The sequence below is a fragment of the Homo sapiens genome, chromosome 2 (assembly GCF_000001405.40).
Source record: "Homo sapiens chromosome 2, GRCh38.p14 Primary Assembly".
Classification (NCBI taxonomy): Eukaryota; Metazoa; Chordata; class Mammalia; order Primates; family Hominidae; genus Homo; species Homo sapiens.
In genome coordinates, this window is record NC_000002.12 from 219,131,067 (window position 1) to 219,148,594 (window position 17,528).

The following is a 17,528-nucleotide window of genomic DNA, read 5'->3' on the forward strand; positions in this document are numbered from 1 at the left end:
GGGCAACAGAGCGAGACTCTGTCTCAAAAAGAAAAAAAACAAACAAACTGCAGCTTGACATTCTAAGATGGTGTTAGAGGAGCCCCCAGCATTCAGTGTTTTTGATAAGACATGTTGGGGGAGGGAAATAGATACATGAATTGAAAGACCCTGCATGGCTGTTCAGGTAGCACCTCCTGGGGACTCTATACATTGCGGGGGTCACCAAAGGTCCAGAGTCTCTAACTCAGTTTTTATTAGTTCATTTAGGGATGTTCAGAGTTTAGAAGACTGGCTGATGTTAACTAAAAATTATAAGAGACTAATTTCGAAATTAAAATGCCAATTTATTAGTTTACAAGGTGAAGTCTAGTCCAGTTACCAAAATATCTTCGGCTGCTTTTTCCTGGGAAGCTGAATAAATATTGAGAGTGCTACTTGTTAAACACAGGAAAAGGGCAAAAATCGGCAAATAGCTTCAGGGGGTAGTTTACATACATTGTGCAAGCTAGATATTCATCTTGTTCTACTGTATCACTGTTTTGGCATTGTGCTAGATAAATTAATAAATAGTTACTCCTTGGTTTTTCTTTTTTTGGATTCTATACAACTCTGTTCCTCTGTTAGTACATTTCCTCACACATCATTAATTAATTACATAAAAGTTTTTCTTTAATTGCTTGTAAGAGTCTAGAGGTGTACAAGACTAAAAGTGGCAAGAAAGGAATGTGGAATAAGAAAAGAGGCAGTACTTGGGGCAGAGCGCTCTAGCTTTGAACCATTTTCCTATATTTTAAGTTAGGTCTCTATACTGCTCACAAATTGGTCTCAATCTTGCCTACTGCCCAGAAAACTTCCAACAGGTGTAACACGTGGCAAGGCAATCTGACATGATGGAAGAATACTGGACCGGAAGGTCAGAGTCCTGGGCTCTGGTGCCAAATTCCACAATTGTTTGTCTATGTAGAGTTATTTTATCCTTATGGACCCCAATTTCCACATAAGTAAAAGAGAGTGGCTTGATATAGCCTTAGACTGATAAAGTCACTTCAAAATTCCGTGGCTCTAATCTGGACAAAATATTTCAGAGGCTATAATTTCCTTCATTGAGCTACTGGCCCAGGCCCTTGAGATTTGTAATCTAGTTTCATGAGCAATGTATTTATAAACTGTTGGATAGATTACTCAGTAGATAGCTAATCTTATCCATTTTATATTGATTCTTCTTTATATCTCAGTATGAGAGGTTACCCCAAATTTAGGGGGGGATACTCTGCTTAAGACTTGCATTTCCTATGTACTCACTAAACTCAGCAATTTCGCTATGCTCTTCCCCTAGCTGCTGGGGGCTGCAGAAAACAGAATGCAGTTGCCATCAACTATTCCTTCTTTAAACCAAGCAGTATTATCCCATCTCAAAATTTATCTTCATTGTTAGCTTTACCCATATCAAATTAGAAGGGGTTCTCTGGAGTAAAAGATTCTAAGAGAGCAATCCATAGCATCAGAATTGCTCAGGCTTCAAGCATAAGATTAACAAAAGCCAAAGAGCTTTTAAAGGATTCCCTCAAACCATCACACTTCAGGAAAGCCCCTTAGATTGTGTAACTCAGTGAAAGATCTAGCTGTGTCTTTTCCTTCAGCAGCCACTCTCCATACAATATTCCTCTGAACTCTTACCTCAAGAGTAACTTCTTCCAAAAATACTTTTCCCAAACTGGCCTGCTATGAACCCCAGATCCCATCCAAATGAATCCATTTCTTCCTCCTCTCAGGTACCATATATATAAATATATTATGTATTTAGAATATTCTTTGTAGATATGTAAATTCCAGCAGTTTAATCTCTATCAAAAGTCCATTTTTTAAGGGCAGAAAACATGTTTTAACTTTTCAGTATAATTCCATCAAGTTTCGTATCTTCAACGGGCTTAATAAGTACTGTCCATAAACAGTTTAAACTTCTAAATAGAAAAACAAATAGACCAAAGATCTCCCACACTGAATGAAAAAAATTCTTCTGGGACCTTCTGGCAATTTCTCCCTTCATAATTTCCTTATGGAAGATAACAAGGATGTCCGTGAATCCTGCAGTCTCATTTCCTAAATACTGGACAGCTAAGCTGCCAACCTACAGGACTCAGCCTTTATAGATCTCTCACTTTTCAATGTGGCCCACTATGCAAAAGAAATATCACCCGTAAGTGAAGGATATAAGAGAACGCTTTGGGTATATGGTTAAAATTATGAAGCCAACAGACCAGGTAAAACTTAGAGGTCAGTTGTTTGATACTTTCTTTTCTCCTAATTTCTAAAACCAGAGACAACATGTCCCAATGTGAGAGAGTCCTCTCATGACACGACCTTTAAAAAGGCTACAACCAGGTACCTCCTGTCTACAAGGCCCTGAGATAGAGTTAGAAGAAGAAACAAAATGAGCAAGACAGTTCTGCTCTTAAGAACTCTGTAAGCTAACAGGGAGAGAAGTATAGCAATTCTTAGAATACAAGGCAAAAGTGATAAGTGACACAGGAAAGAGAAAGCGTTGAGAGTTCAGAAGAGGAAAATAATATAGCTTGTGCTTTTACTACTGTCCCTTTCACTATTTCTGTCATAACAGAAAGGTCATTGTAACCATCTGACTCTCTTTTTAAGTCAGGGAAATTAAATGCCCTTGGAAAAGACTTTAAAAATTATTGGATGAAAAGGCTGCATCTCCTGGGGGAAAGAAGCTGGAAGTATGCAGAAATCTACTAATCTATCTTCAAAATATCACCCATCCCTTCATGACATCCACAAATCCCACAGAAAGAACTAATCCTTCCCCTTGGCTCAACTCCACAGGTCCCTGCTTCCACACCATTCCTTTCCCTTCATCGGCATAAGTTTTTCCTTTTCCGCTGGTTTCTCCTTTGCCTTCAAACACATATGCATCTTTCCATCTTATTTCGTTTAAACTACTTCTAGCTCTCCAGCTATCTCATTTATTTCCTTCTCATTGTGAAACTTCTCTGGTGAAGAGTTCTACACTCATTGTCTCCATTGCCTTATCCATTGATCGTTCTTTAACAGCCTGCTTTCTTCTGATATTGCCCAAGACCATGAATTGCCTAAGGGTCTTTCCTCTGTCAGTCAGTTACCCCTTCTCTTTGGCCTCTCTCCTGCACATGACTGTGGCCACCCTTGGTGACGGAAATAGCACAGGATTTGAGTCAAGACAAATATGGGTAAATCAACGGGATGGCCTTAGGCAAATTAGTTCACCACTGAGCCTCTACTTCTTTATCTTTCAAATGAAGATATCACCTAGCTCATAGGTTTGTTGTAAGGATTAAATTATAACTTAGATAAAGCACCTGTGTCTAGCACACACAGAGTATGGACTTTATATTTGTTAGTTACCCTTTCTTGGCTAATCTACTATGCTATTCTGATTATCTTCCTGTCTCACATTTCCATCACTGGCTATTACTCCTTCCAGTTATGACTATTCCCCATATCTCAATCTTTGGGCCTTTGTTCTTTTTTCCATACTCTTCCCAGCTAAAGATCCATCCATTCTCATGGCATCAAATATCATTTCTTTGTAGAAGATTCTCAAATCTATTTTCTGTAGACCCTTTTCTTCGACCTGAGCTTCAACCCTAGTTTTTCAACTCTTTCCTAGGCATTCTCACTTGTACGTCCCATAATCAATTTAAATTCAACATGTGGCCAGGCGCGGTGGCTCACGCTGGTAATCCCAGCACTTTGGGAGGCTGAGGTAGGTGGATCACGAGGTCAGGAGTTCGAGACCAGCCTGGCCAACATGGTGAAACCCCGTCTCTACTAAAAATACAAAAATTAGCCGGGTGTGGTGTGGTGGGCTCCTGTAATCCCAGCTACTCGGGATGCTGAGGCAGGAGAATTGCTTGAAACCAGAAGGCGGAGGTTGCAGTGAGCCGAGATCGTGCCATTGCACTCCAGCCGGGCAACAAAAGTGAAACTCCGTCTCAATTAAAAAAAAAAAAAAAATTCAACATGTATGTGAAAAAAATCTTCATCTTATGTTTTTAAATTAACTCTAATTATAAATAAGCCACTGATTTTGTAAAAAATAGGCTAAGGCATTGTTAAATTACCATACTGTAACAAATGGATTTTTATGAAACCCTTCTTCTACTAGGGGAAAGAGGAGGGAGACTCAACTGTGTAAATCTTCACAAAAAGCTCTGGAGGTACATGAAGCTTATAGGTTAGGCCCAAAAGGGCTAGGTATTTGTCAGAAGTAAGACATCAAGGCCGGGCACAGTGGCTCACGCCTGTAATCCCAGCACTTTGGGAGGCCGAGGTGGGTGGATCACTCAAGGTCAGGAGTTTGAGACCAGCCTGGCCAACACGGTGAAACCTTGTCTCTACTAAAAATACAAAAAAATTAGCCAGGCGTGGTGGCAGGTGCCTGTAATCTTAGTAATTCAGGAGGCTGAGGCAGGAGAATTGCTTGAACCCAGGAGGCAGAGGTTGCAGTGAGCCGAGATCACCCCACTGCACTCCAGCCTACAGGACAGAGTGAGATTCCGTCTCAAAAGTAAAGAAGTAAGACATCAAACATCATCACTGCCTCACAAATCAAATCTGAACCAAATGGATTTCTTAGACTGGAGATTTAAAGCAAGTAAGTGTGGCTCATGCCTGTAATCCCAGCACTTTGGGAGGCTGTGGCAGGCAAATTGCTTGAGCCCAGGAGTTCAAGACCAGCCCTCGGCTACATAGTGAGATCCTGTCTCTTTTAGAAAACAAATAAATAAATAAATAAACCAAATGAGAGACTAATGGTGGATTTGATGGAGCAAAACAGAGGAAAAAATAGTTTTCACTTTGGCAGAGTTGGTAACTTCCTTTGAGTAAAGTAAGATATACAACCCCCTGGAGCGCAGTCTGTTAAACTGTGCTAGCCTATCCAGGTCTAGATACAGGGACATGCATGATTTCGTTTTCCACAGGCCCCTACAACTCTCTGTTGTCTTCTATCCAGCCTGATATACATGTTTATGTAATATGACTGGCCCCTGCAGATATCTGATTTTGTAATATCTGGTTTTGAGATTTTTTAGGATAAGAGAATTTGAGATATGGGAAACTCCTTTGCTATTGGGATTCTTAGAATCAGAAACCCAAAATGGATAATTTTTACCCCCTTTGTATTCTTTCTTTCTTTTTCTGAGACAGTGTCTTTCTCATAATGTATTCCCACTTGGTTTCTTTTTTTTTTTTTTTTTTTAGAGACAAGGTCTCGCTTTGTCGCTCAGGCTGGAGTGCAGTGATGCAATCTTGGCTGACTGCAACCTCAGCCTCCAGAGTTCAAGTGATTCTCCTGCCTCAGTCTCCCAAGTAGCTGGGATCACAAGCCTGTGCCACCAAGCCCGGCTAATTTTTGTATTTTTAGTAGAGATGGAGTTTCGCCATGTTAGCCAGGCTGGTCTCGAACTCCTGACCTCTGGTGATCCACCCACCTCAGCCTCCCAAACTGTTGGGATTATAGGCGTGAGCCACCACACGTAGCCCCTACTTGGTTTCTTTATTTGTTTGTTTCTTTGAGATGGAGTCTTGCTCTGTTGCCCAGGCTGGAGTGCAGTGGCACAATCTCGGCTCACTGCAACCTCTGCCTCCGAGATTCAAGCGATTCTCCTGCTTCAGCCTCCTGAGTAGCTGGGATTACAGGCACCCACCATTGCACCCAGCTAGTTTTCTTATCTTTAGTAGAGATGGGGTTTCGCCATGTTGGCCAGGCTGATCTCAAACTCCCGACCTCAACTGATCTGCCCGCCTCAGCCTCCCAAAGTGCTGGGATTACAGACCTGAGCCACCGCACCTGGCCCCATTTGTATTTTCTATATTGATTTCCTTTTTTTTCTCTCTCAAAATTTTAACAATTTTTTTAAAAAATTACTTTAAAATTTTTAATAAATTTCCTTTTGAAAACATAAGCCCTTATAAGCCTTTGCAAAAGGAAAATAAAGAAAGAGGTCTTTTTAGCTCTTCTTGAGAAAAAAAAAAAAAAAAAGAAGTGGTAACCCCTGGTTACTACAGGATTCACAGTGAGAAAACCCCAAAGAGAAGGTGAAATTCAGAAAAAACAAAATATAGTTGAGAAACATGCACAGCCATACCTTCCTCCCTGGAGATTTTCATTCCAGAGCTCAAATACTGGTACATTCATATTTTCAGTAAGGAAAACAATTCTTTTATATGCCCACGGTTAAACCGACCCCACCCATGATCTTCCTAGTCTATCAATGGCATCACTATTCTTCAAATCACATAAGCATATGACCAAGAGCCTAATATTCCTAAAGATCACCTTCATATGTCAATTCTCCAGTCAAAACTTTCAATGGCTTCCCACTATCTGCAACAGTAATTAATAAGTGCAAGGAGAATGTGCCCCATCTCCCTCCTAGGAGATGTGTCCCCACTTGAGAATCACAGCACATAATGACAGTCGTTAACAATTGAACTAAATGGAGAAATAAATGTGTTACAGGCAAAAAAAAAAAAAAAAAAAAAACAAAAAAAACTGAAAACCACCTTCAGAATAAAACACTAATCTGCCAGCCCAACATTTAAGGCCCCCACAATTTAGCCTCAAGTTATTATCTTGCTAACTTTATTTTCTACTAATCCTCATCCATTCTTATTCTTATTTTCCATCCTTTGCCCAAGTGCTTCCCACCTAAAATGTCTTCCACATAGTTTTCAATCAAAGCCTAAATCAAAGCCCAGTTCACGTCCTGCCATTTATAGAAAGCTTTTTCTAATCACTCCACTACTATGGCCCTTATTATCATTCACTAAGCACTATAAGCTCTTTGATGGCAATATTATCATACCTTATATGCTCACAGAACCTCATTCAGCCCGCATGCACCTGACCGAATACCGAAAGGATGAATTAACTGCAAGTTTTTCTAGGTCGGAGAACTGACACACATAATAGGAGGGAGCATATTCTCATGCATCTAGACTTATCCTTTTTTACGATGCCCACATGGACACTAAAAAAAAACCACCCTGAATCCTATGGCTTTCTCTACATATTGAACAACAGGTACATGGTAAAAGGGTAGCCCTTCTAACTGTGGAAGTGGAGCCCTTGTGACTCTAAGACTAATTTTCTTTCCAGGATTTTGTTAGGTACTTATTCTTTTGACTTTTGAGGTGTTAGTCTCTTAACTGGCTCTAAAAAAAGAGAGGTTCTGGGATTTCTCAATAATAAAAGATTCAAGGTTTATATACACTTCATCCCGAAGTTGGGACTGCCTTTCAGAAAACATAAATGTCAAACAAATAAGGCAGGTGGTAGAATGGGAATATAGGCTACTCATCTATTTACATGTAAGGCTGCCTATGTCTAAGGCTACCAATAGGTGATTATTTGCTGGCCTATTCATAAGAGGAGGAAAATAAAAAAGAGTGGGAAGATATGATTTCTTCTTCTATTCAACAAACACTTATAGAGTGCCTACTATGTGTGGAGGCACTGTTCTAGGCACTTGGGCTAGACCAGTGCACAAAACATACATCTTTGTCCTTGTTGAGCTTACATTCTAACAGACAGGAGATAGACCATAAACAGTAAGTATAATAAAATAAGTAAATTTTATGGCAATATGTTGGAAACTAGGTGCTATAGAAAAAATAAAAAGTAGAGGATGGTAAGATGAAATGGGAGTGCTAAGGTGCAGGGGGGACAAATGGAGCTTACAACTTTAAATGAGTAGTCAGGGTAAACTCTATTGGGAAGGTAACATTTGAAAAAAGACATTGTTGTAGTCCATGTAGATGGATGTAGTCTATGTAGATATGTCTCCAAATTCTTTGACACAGCTCCCCTTAAGAGGTGAAGTTTAATTAATTACCTTCCACTTAAGTGTGACCCAGACTTAGTGACTCATTTCTAATAAAAAGAATACAGTGAGATAGTGATAGAATGTAACTTCTGAAATTAGGTTATAAAAGGACTGCAGGTCCATTTGGTCTTGGTTTCGTTTCTCATTTTCTTTTCTTTTTCTTTTTTTTTTGAGACAGAGTCTCATTCTGTTGCCCAGGCTGGAGTGCAGTGGTGTGATCTCAGCTCACTGCAACCTCTGCCTCCCGGGTTCAAGCAATTCTCCCACCTCAGCCTCCTGAGTAGCTGGGATTACAGGTGCATGCCACCATGTCCAGCTAATTTTTGTATTTTTAGTAGAGACGAAGTTTCACCATGTTGGCCAGGCTGGTCTTGAACTCTTAACCTCAGGTGATCTGCCCGCCTCAGCCTCCAAAAGTGCTGGGATTACAGGCATGAGCCACCCCACCTGGCCTTGGTCTTTGTCTCTTGGATCACTGGCTCTGGAGGAAACCAGGTCCTGTGAGTAGCCCTATGGACAGGCCACATAGCAAGAAATGGCACCTCCTGCCAACAGCCACATGAGAAAGCTTGGATATGAATTATCCGGATGTTACAATGACTGCGTTACCAGCTGACATATTGACTGCAACATCATGAGAGACACTGAGCCAGAATCACACCCACTAAGCTGCTCCCAGATTCCTGACCCTCAGAAACCATGCAAGATAATAAATGTGTTTTTGGTTTTTTGGGGTTTTTTGTTTTTGTTTTTGTTTTCTGAGACAGAGTCTCGCTCTTTCGCCCAGACTGGAGTGCAGTGGCACGATCTCGGCTCACTGCAAGCTCTGAGACCTCCCAGGTTCACGCCATTCTCCCGCCTCAGCCTCCCAAGTAGCTAGGACTACAGGCGCCTGCCACCACACCCGGCTAATTTTTTGTATTTTTATTAGAGACAGGGTTTCACCGTGTTAGCCAGGATGGTCTTGATTTCCTGACCTCATGATCCATCTGCCTTGGCCTCCCAAAGTGCTGCGATTACAGGCGTAAGCCACCGCACCCAGCCTGTTATTTTAAGCCATTAAATTTTGGGACAATTTGTTACACAGCAATGGATAACTAATACAGACTTTAAGGAAGTGAGGAAGTTGGCCACACAAATATCTGAAGAAAGAACATTCCAGGCAGAGGGAACAGCCAATGTAAAGGCCTAAAGGCAGTGTTAGAGTGTTAGAAAAACACTTAAGAGTGTTAGAAAAACAGCAAGAGGCCAGTGTGGCTGCAGTGGAGTGAATGAGGGAGGAAGTTGTAGGAGATGAGGTCAGAAAGGTAAGAGAGTTCTATAAGATCATATAGGGTTTTATAGGCCATGGTAAAGTCTTTGGATTTTACTCTATAAATGAAGTGTTAAGCCAGTGAAGGGCTTTGAGCAGAAGAATATCACGATGTGCCTTGCAACTTAATAAGATAGCTTTGTTGATAATAGGCCAGGAGGGGGTAGGAGTAGCTGCAGGATACAAATAAGGAGGCTTTTGCCATAATGCAGGTAGGAGATGATGGTGGCTCCAGTATGGTAGCAGCAGAGGTGAGATTACGGGCATAGTTTTAAGGTAAAGCCAACAGGATTTCCTGATGGACTTTGGCTGTAGGAAGTGAGAGGACAGCAGTCAGGATGACTCCAAGGTTTTTTCACCCAACTAAAAGTGAAAGAATGAACCTTCCATCAACTTAGATGGGAGGGGGTTGTTGGAAAAGTAAATCTGGGCATACGACTGGAAGTTCAATTTTGGACGTGTTGAATTTAAGATATTTTTTAAACTTCTTCATGAAAATGTTAAACAAGCAGTCTGGAGTTTCAGGGTAAGACCTACAGTGAAGAATAAATGTGAGATTCATCCACAAGGTGGTATTTAAAGATGTTATAGTGGAATGCCAGAGGAGCAGGCTGAAGATGTCAAAAGGATCAAATCATAAATGATCACGTGTGGCGTGCAAGGAGTTTGAACTTTATCCTGTAGGAAACCGGGAGCCACTAAAGGACTCTGAGCAAAAAGTGTCATAATCAAGTTTCAGTTTCAAAGACATCACTCTGACAAAACTACAAATTCAACTGCAGGGGAATAAGAACTGACCAGGAGACAAGTTAGGAGGCTGTTGCATGGTCAAGCCAAAAAAGGGACAGAAAGGCCAGGAACAGTGGCTCACACCTGTAATCCCAAAACTTTGGGAGGCCAAGGCAGGTGGATCACCTGAGGTCAGGAGTTCAAGACCAGCCTGGCCAACATGGTGAAACTCCATCTCTACAAAAAATACAAAAATTAGCTGGGCGTGGTGGCTCAAGCCTGTAGTCCCAGCTACTCAGGAGGCTGGGGCATGAGAATCTCTTGAACCCAGGAGGCAGAGGTTACAGTGAGCCGAGATTGTGCCACTGCACTCTAGCCTGGGCAACAGAGTGAGACTTGGTCTCAAAAAAAAAAAGCAGGGGGGGAGTGGGGGAAAAGGGAGAGAAAAATGGCTAATTTCAGACAACGGGAGGTAGAATAGAGAAGATAGGCAGATTCAAAAGACGGTCAATAAATTAGGCTTTGAAAGTAAGGACAAAGAGGAAAGTGAGTGACTCCCAAATTTCTAGCTTAGAAAACTGAATGGATGATGGTATAATTCCCCAAGATAAGGAATATAAGAGAAATAGTCTGGGGGAGTAGATAATTCATTTTGGACATGTTTAGGATGTGCTTTATGTGGGACATCCAGGTGGAAATGCCAAACATGCAGAAAGAAATATGGGCCTAAAACACAGTGGAGATATAAAATTGGTATTCAGCGATGTACCAACAATAGTTGACACTGGGGTCTAGATGAGATGACCCAGAGGAAGGAAAGTGAAGTCTCAGAGGATCAGGGACCTGATCCTGGGAAACACTAACCTTTAAGAGGCAGGCAGAAGACGGAGAGCCAGCCAAAGAAACCAATTAGAAGTGTGAACAAGCTTAACAAGATGGCAATTTTCAAGTTAAAGCATTGCCCATCTTCCCCAGGCGATATAAGCTCTAGCTTCGTAAGAGCAGCAGTGACTCTCTTCATAGTTTAAAGTATCTGCTCTAGAATCAGGCTGCAACCAGACAGGAGCTGAAGACAGTAACTAAAACTAGGCAGAATATAACAACCATGGCTGCACTTAGGATGCTAAGTCAAATCAATGTTAACTATAGCCCCCTAATTTCTTAGCTAAGGTATTATACTGAACAGATTAAGACTTATAAGGCATTCAGAATGCAGCAGTAAGAACGACTGCAGGGAAGAGAAGAGAAGAGAAGAGGAGAGAAGAGTAGAGAATTGCAAAATCTCCATCTCTGCTAAGGGACCCCTACCAAAGGAAGCCAACTTCAAGCAACTGCCCAGGTTTTGGTGTCAAGGGCTGATTCCTAGCCAGGGGTTGCCAGCTGTAGAGGGCGGGGCTCTATTTTGGGCTGCCTGCTGTCCCTGAGCCTGGCCGCGTCTGGTTTGAGCAGCATGCAGCCCCAGTGACTCACACACCCATGCAAACTGCCTGTGGCTCAGTGGCATGGCCTTGGAATGCCAGCCTTAGGCCAGCTCCCTCCTCACCCCATTACACTGGGATAAATAAATAAAGAGCCCGCCAGCAGCCACACAGCCTGATGGCAACCAGATGGAGAGAGCGAGGCATGGACAGGGCCAGGGGAAGGAACTCCCTCCAGTGGACTAGACTGAGAGTGGGCTCTGCCCAGTCATCCTAAACTTCCTTTTTCATATAGTTCCTACTGCCGTGTAACAACAGTCCCTAAGTCCCTGACTCTTCTTTCACTCCTAAAGATGCCTCTCAACCCCCAGTCCTACAAAATGCCCTATATAGGGTTCTTGGCCTCCATGAAGATCATGCCAACAGGCATCCCACCCAGGCTTGACTTGAGTCAATATTGTCAGTATCACCCTCTAGTTAGGCCACTATCAACTGGCTCCTTGGGTTCCCCAGAATTGAGAAATCAGAGGCTCTTAGACAGAGTGGAAAAACAAAAGGACCAAATAGGGAGAAGTAACCCCTGTTCAATTCTTATTTTCCCGAGCCTTAGTATCCTAGCCACCTGCCTGGCCTACTGTCCCCTGTGCCTTATTGTCTATAGCCTCTTGCCTAGTAATAATCCCAATGAGAATTTTAAAAACTGACCCCAGGCAATGACCGCATGGCCCTCTGACACCAGCCCTGGCCCCCCTGCGCCTTCATCTTGAGCTCTCTCCCTGGTTTGTTTATCTTCCTATTCCATCTTGCTTATTTTGATGGCACATCCTTTCAGTTCAGTCTTGGGTGACCCCATGACCCTTCTGTGTCCTGTTTGTAGGACCCCGGGCAAGCAGAGTAACTAAAAAGATGCAGTAGTCATAAGAAGTTCTACAGCCCCAGTAGGAAACCTTTCAGTTCCAGCAGCTATACAGGACATTCTGAGGACAGTGCAATGACCCCAGAGGTCACAAGAATTCCATATTACCCCAGCCCTTATGTCTCCCCTAACAGGTGTGTACAACCAGTTAAACTAGCAAAACAAAACAGGGATAATCCTAGACTATGTGTCAAGAAATGTGAGAAGTCCTAAACATAAAGCTACAGCTATATGACCTTAGGCAAGTCACTTAACCTCTCTGAGGCTCAACTTCTTCATCTATAAAATAGAAAGCTGTAACTACAACTACCTATCTCTCACTTCCTTTCCAGATATAATAAAATTCTACAAGTCTATGAGGTTGATCCACCCAGAACCTACAGGACCAGTATTCTTGAAGTAGCTGGTTCCAAAACACTGATACTCTTCCTGTGCTGCCACCTAAATTCTGTATGCTTTCTCATTCAATTCCGCAGGGCTCCTCCCAACCCCATAGTATGAAAACGATGAGCCTCTAATTTTATAAATGAGAAGTGATTTATCCAAAGCTGCAAAATGAGCCATGAGAATAACTGAAGACCCCAAATATAGGTCTAATAAGCAACACTGAGCCAGGTGCAGTGGCTCACGCCTGTAATCTCAGCACTTTGAAAGGCCAAGGTGGGCGGACCACATGAGGCCAGGCATTCAAAACCAGCCTGGCCAACATGGTAAAACCCTGTCTCTACTAAAACTACAAAAATTAGCCAGGTGTGGTGGTGCATACCTGTAATCCCAGCTACTCAGGAGGCTGAGGCACAAGAATCTCTTGAACCCGGGAGGCAGAGATTACAGTGAGCCGAGATCACCCCACTGCACTCCAGCCAAAAAAAAGCAACACTGTATCCACAGGCCACAGTGTCATAATCTGTATAAAATCCCCCTAGCATAGACTTATCAAAATATTAATCCAAACTTATTGAAGACTTACTACCTGTAGGCACCACGCACAGTGCTGGGGATATAGAAATGCATTCAGCATGGTCCTTGCCTCAAAGAGTCCACAGATCAGTGGAGGAGAAAGCCATAGTCTTGCAGGCATACAAACAGTAATATTACAATGTTATAAGTGGTAAAACAGAGGTATAATCCAAGGTACTATAGTAGCAGGGAAGAAGAATAGTCTTTACAAGCAGAGTACAGAACGGTCTCCCAAACAAGGTGAAGCTGACATCTAGAAGATTAATAGAAGTTTGCAAGTTAGATAAGGCCAGAACATTGGACATTCTAGATCATGGGAAGAATGTGTATCTAAAGACAAGATGAAACAGCATTGGGGCAAATTAAAAGTCATTCCATATAGCTAAGGCATAAAGTACACAGAGAAAAATGTCAAGAAGTCAAGCTGGAGAGGTATGCAGGCACTAGATCAGGAAGAGACCTCTCTACTGAGCTAAGAACAAGCCTTGCATTGTTTAACTAAGGGGATGAGGCAGGGAACCAGCATGTTATCCCCAGCCTTGATACCTAAACTTATAGACAGGGGAAGCTATCTAAGAGAAAAACGGCCTAAGAAATCTCTCTTAGTCACAAGTTTAGGTTTAACGGTCTCTCTTTACCCATAAAAACTTGAAACCTTTTCTAGGCTAGGCATGGTGGCTCACATCTATAATCCCAGTACTTTGGGAGGTCAAGGAGGGTGGATCACTTGAGGCCAGGAGTTCAAGACCAGCCTGATCAACATGGCGAAACCCCGTTTCTACTAAAAATACAAAAATTAGCTGGGTGTGGTGGTGCGCACCTGTAATCCCAGCTACTTGGAAGGCTGAGGCAGGAGAATTGCTTGAACCTGGGAAAGGGATGTTGCAGTGAGCCAAGATTGTGCCATGGCACTCCAGTCTGGGTGACAGAGCAAGTGAGGCTTCGTTTCAAAAACAACAACAACAACAACAACAACAACAAAAAGACTTGAAACCTTTTCTCTTTCAGGACTTAGCAATACAAGTTTTCCTTCTTCTTCAGACTTACAATTGCTTCAGTACCTGGACTGAGCACCTACCTCACATTTTTTGCTTTTAGTGTTTAGACCCCAAGCATTGTAGCTCAGTCAATGCACAGAGGCAGAACAGGAGGTTCCAAATAAAGAATACCTGCTTTATGCCTAGCCCTTTAAAAAGTGCTAATTTAGGGTTCAAAAGAGGTACGGGACACAGACCCTGTCCACAAAGAGCTTACAAATTAATCTAGAAGACAATAAAGAAATACAAATAATCTATACATAATACCAGATTATAATAGCATTATTTACTTACATGATAAAGTACCAACTTGGGTAACATATATAATTAGAAAATGGGGCAATAGGCCGGGCGCAGTGGCTCACACTTGTAATCCCAGCACTTTGGGAGGCCGAGGTGGGTGGTCACCTGAGGTCGGGAGTTCCAGACCAGCCTGACCAACATGGAGAAATCCCATCTCTACTAAAAATACAAAATTAGCTGGGTGTGGTGGCACATGCCTGTAATCCCAGCTACTCAGGAGGTTGAGGCAGGATAATCGCTTGAACCCGGGAGGCGGAGGTTGCTGTGAGCCGAGATCGCACCATTGCACTCCAGCCTGGACAACAAGAGTGAAACTCCATCTCAAAAAAAAATAAAAAAAAAAAAAAGAAAATGGGGCAATAATACTAAGGTACTAACTGTACAACCAACAAGTCACAGAAGAGGGAGGGAAGGAGAAGATCAATATTGACTGGCATTATCAAAGGTCACTATTATTAATACTTTCCCTATTTGGCATTTAATAGATGTTTCTTTTGGCTGAGCTCAATCCTTAGAAGGGAAACCTAGGCAGGAGCTTCTGACAGGCCACAATTATCTACTCCCCATTCATTCCTTTGCCAGTCCCCTTGTATAAACACTGTGATTTTCCACAACCTACTGTGCCCACAAGACAGCCCCCAAATGGTAGCCCTAAGCTTTTTACCTTCCTCTCCTGCAGGATCCTGAAAGGGCCTAGACAAGTAATGACGCCTACCCTTCTCCTCCACAGTCCAGACCTTACGACCAGATCTCAACAAGCAAAAATTTAATAACTGGTCAACCAACCTTTCCAAGGTTAGAGAATTCCAAATGAAATCCCTGGTACTTTAACAGAGATGTTTTATAAATATCAATCAGTCCACTTCCGCCTCTTACGTTCTTTCCCCGTTTTTTCCCTCATCTTCCCTAAGTACATCTCAAGCCTTATCAGACTTTCTATGGGCAACTTTTTCAGACAAAGGGCATTCCAACCACACAAGCCACCTAACACCCAAAACACAAATGGCCACTCAGGCACCTGGAAAGAGGAAGTAGGGCAAAGACACACAAGAAAATGACAAATACCTTACCTCTATCATAAATTGTTCCAAGAAGGAATTTTCTTCAAATGGTTCTGTCTTCAATCGATCTGTAATAAGAAGGATCAGAAAAAAGAAATATGAGTCATACAGGATGAGTTTCTTACCTGATGGAAAGGGAACAGAACAGGGCTACTTAGGAAAGAGGAGGAAGGTGCATCATGCAGAGACACCTAGTTCAGTGGGAGAAGAAGGGCTGAGAGCATGTGGGCAAAAAGTAGTGGGAGAGGGTGATTAGCAATAAATGGCAGGTTTGGTGGCAGCATCTGCTCTAGGAGTTTTTCCTGCCACAAAAACAAAGGCCAAATTGAATTTTTATTCTGAAGTTGGAGCCATGAAGCTTCCTAAACTCCCAAGTCCATGTTGCTCTGGTACAATTCTGTATAGCTATTGGCTCCTTTCCAAAGTCTTTCCCTGCCATTGCCTAGGGCATGTCTGGACTCGGTTACAGCTTCTATTGGCCACTTGGGCTCCAGCCAGGTACTCGAGGCAGAGAAAAGTGTCACCTAGGCCAGGCACGGTGGCTCACGCCTGTAATCCCAGCACTTTGGGAGGCCAAGGCAGGCAGATCACTTGAGGTCAGGAGTTCGAGACCAGCCTGACCAACATGGTGAAACCCCGTCTATATTAAAAATACAAAAAAATTAGCCAGGCATGGTGGCGTGCGTCTACAATCCCAGCTACTCGGGAGGCTGAGGCAGGAGACTCGCTTGAGCCCACGAGGCGGAAGTTGCAGTGAGCTGAGATCATACCACTACACTCCAGCCTAGCTGACAGAGCGAGACTCCGTCTCCAAAACAAACAAACAAAAAAGAGTCACCTAATATCAAGACTCCAGTTTCTGGTTAGTATTCAGCACCCATCCTGGGGGAGGCACTTCTCTAATGCAAATGAGTCTCCCTCTTTGCTAAGACCCTTTGACTATTTTTAACACGCCCCACCCAACTCCTCCAAGAATGTCCTCTTACCTCGAATCAGCGTAGCCCCACTCTCCTGGTAGTCTTGGATCTCTAGGTCTTTCATATGAAGTAACGTTGCTAGCTCCCTCACTTGGCACTGTAATGCCAGACTCATGCCCATCAGAGGACGAATCAAATGTTGGGAGACCTTTGAGGGAAGAGATATCAATTAGCCAAAAGACTCTTATAAAGTACTTTCCAATTCAGTATTAGGTACCAGAAAAAATACCGAAAAATAAATGTTCTTACAGAAACTTATAGTTTCATAGGCAAGTAACCCATTTACATGAATGTAAACACAAATACAATAATTAAATATATTAAGAAGGTGGCTGGTGCAGTGGCTAACGTCTGTAATCCCAACACTTTGGAAGGCCAGGGCGGGTGGGTCACTTGAGGTCAGGAGTTTGACACAAGCACGGCCAACATGGCCAAACCCTATCTCTACTAAAAATACAAAAATTAACTGGGCTTGGTGGCAGAAGCTTGTAATCCCAGCCACTCGAGAGGCTGAGGCACAAGAATTGTTTGAACCCAGGAGGCAGAGGTTGCAGTGAGCCAAGATTGCACCACTGCATTCTAGCCTGGGTGACAGAGTGAGACTCTTTCTCAAAAACAAGATCCCACCAGCTGAGATGGCTCATGCCTGTAATCCCAGCACTCTGGGAGGCCGAGGTAGGAACTCACTTAAGCCCAGGAGTTCAAGAGCAGCCTGACAAACATAGTGAGACCCCATCTCTACCAAAAAAAAATTTTTTAACATTAGCCAGGCACAGTAGCATGCATCTGTAATCCCAACTACTCGGGAGGCTGAGGTGGAAGGATCACTTGAGCCAAGGAGGTCAAGGCTTCAGTGAGCTGTGATCATGCCACTGCATTCCAGCCTGGGCAACAGAGCAAGACTGCATCTCAAAACAACAAGAAGAAAACAAACAAACAAATGAGAA

At 42.8% G+C, this 17,528-nt stretch overlaps 1 protein-coding gene across 4 annotated transcripts in view; it reads right to left on the reverse strand.

Annotated features, from left to right (window-relative positions):
- NHEJ1 (non-homologous end joining factor 1) overlaps window positions 1-17,528 on the reverse strand; it is a 91,459-nt gene that overhangs the window by 61,710 nt on the left and 12,221 nt on the right. For all 4 annotated transcript variants that reach the window (NR_165304.1, NM_024782.3, NM_001377499.1 and 1 more), the window contains exons 4-5: window positions 16,591-16,729; window positions 15,614-15,672 (exon numbers count right to left, since the gene is read on the reverse strand). Coding sequence is in view for 3 of the 4 variants with exons in the window: in NM_024782.3 (NP_079058.1) it covers window positions 15,614-15,672; window positions 16,591-16,729 (198 nt within the window). In the remaining variant the exon portion in view is untranslated. The remainder of the gene's footprint in view (window positions 1-15,613; window positions 15,673-16,590; window positions 16,730-17,528) is intronic.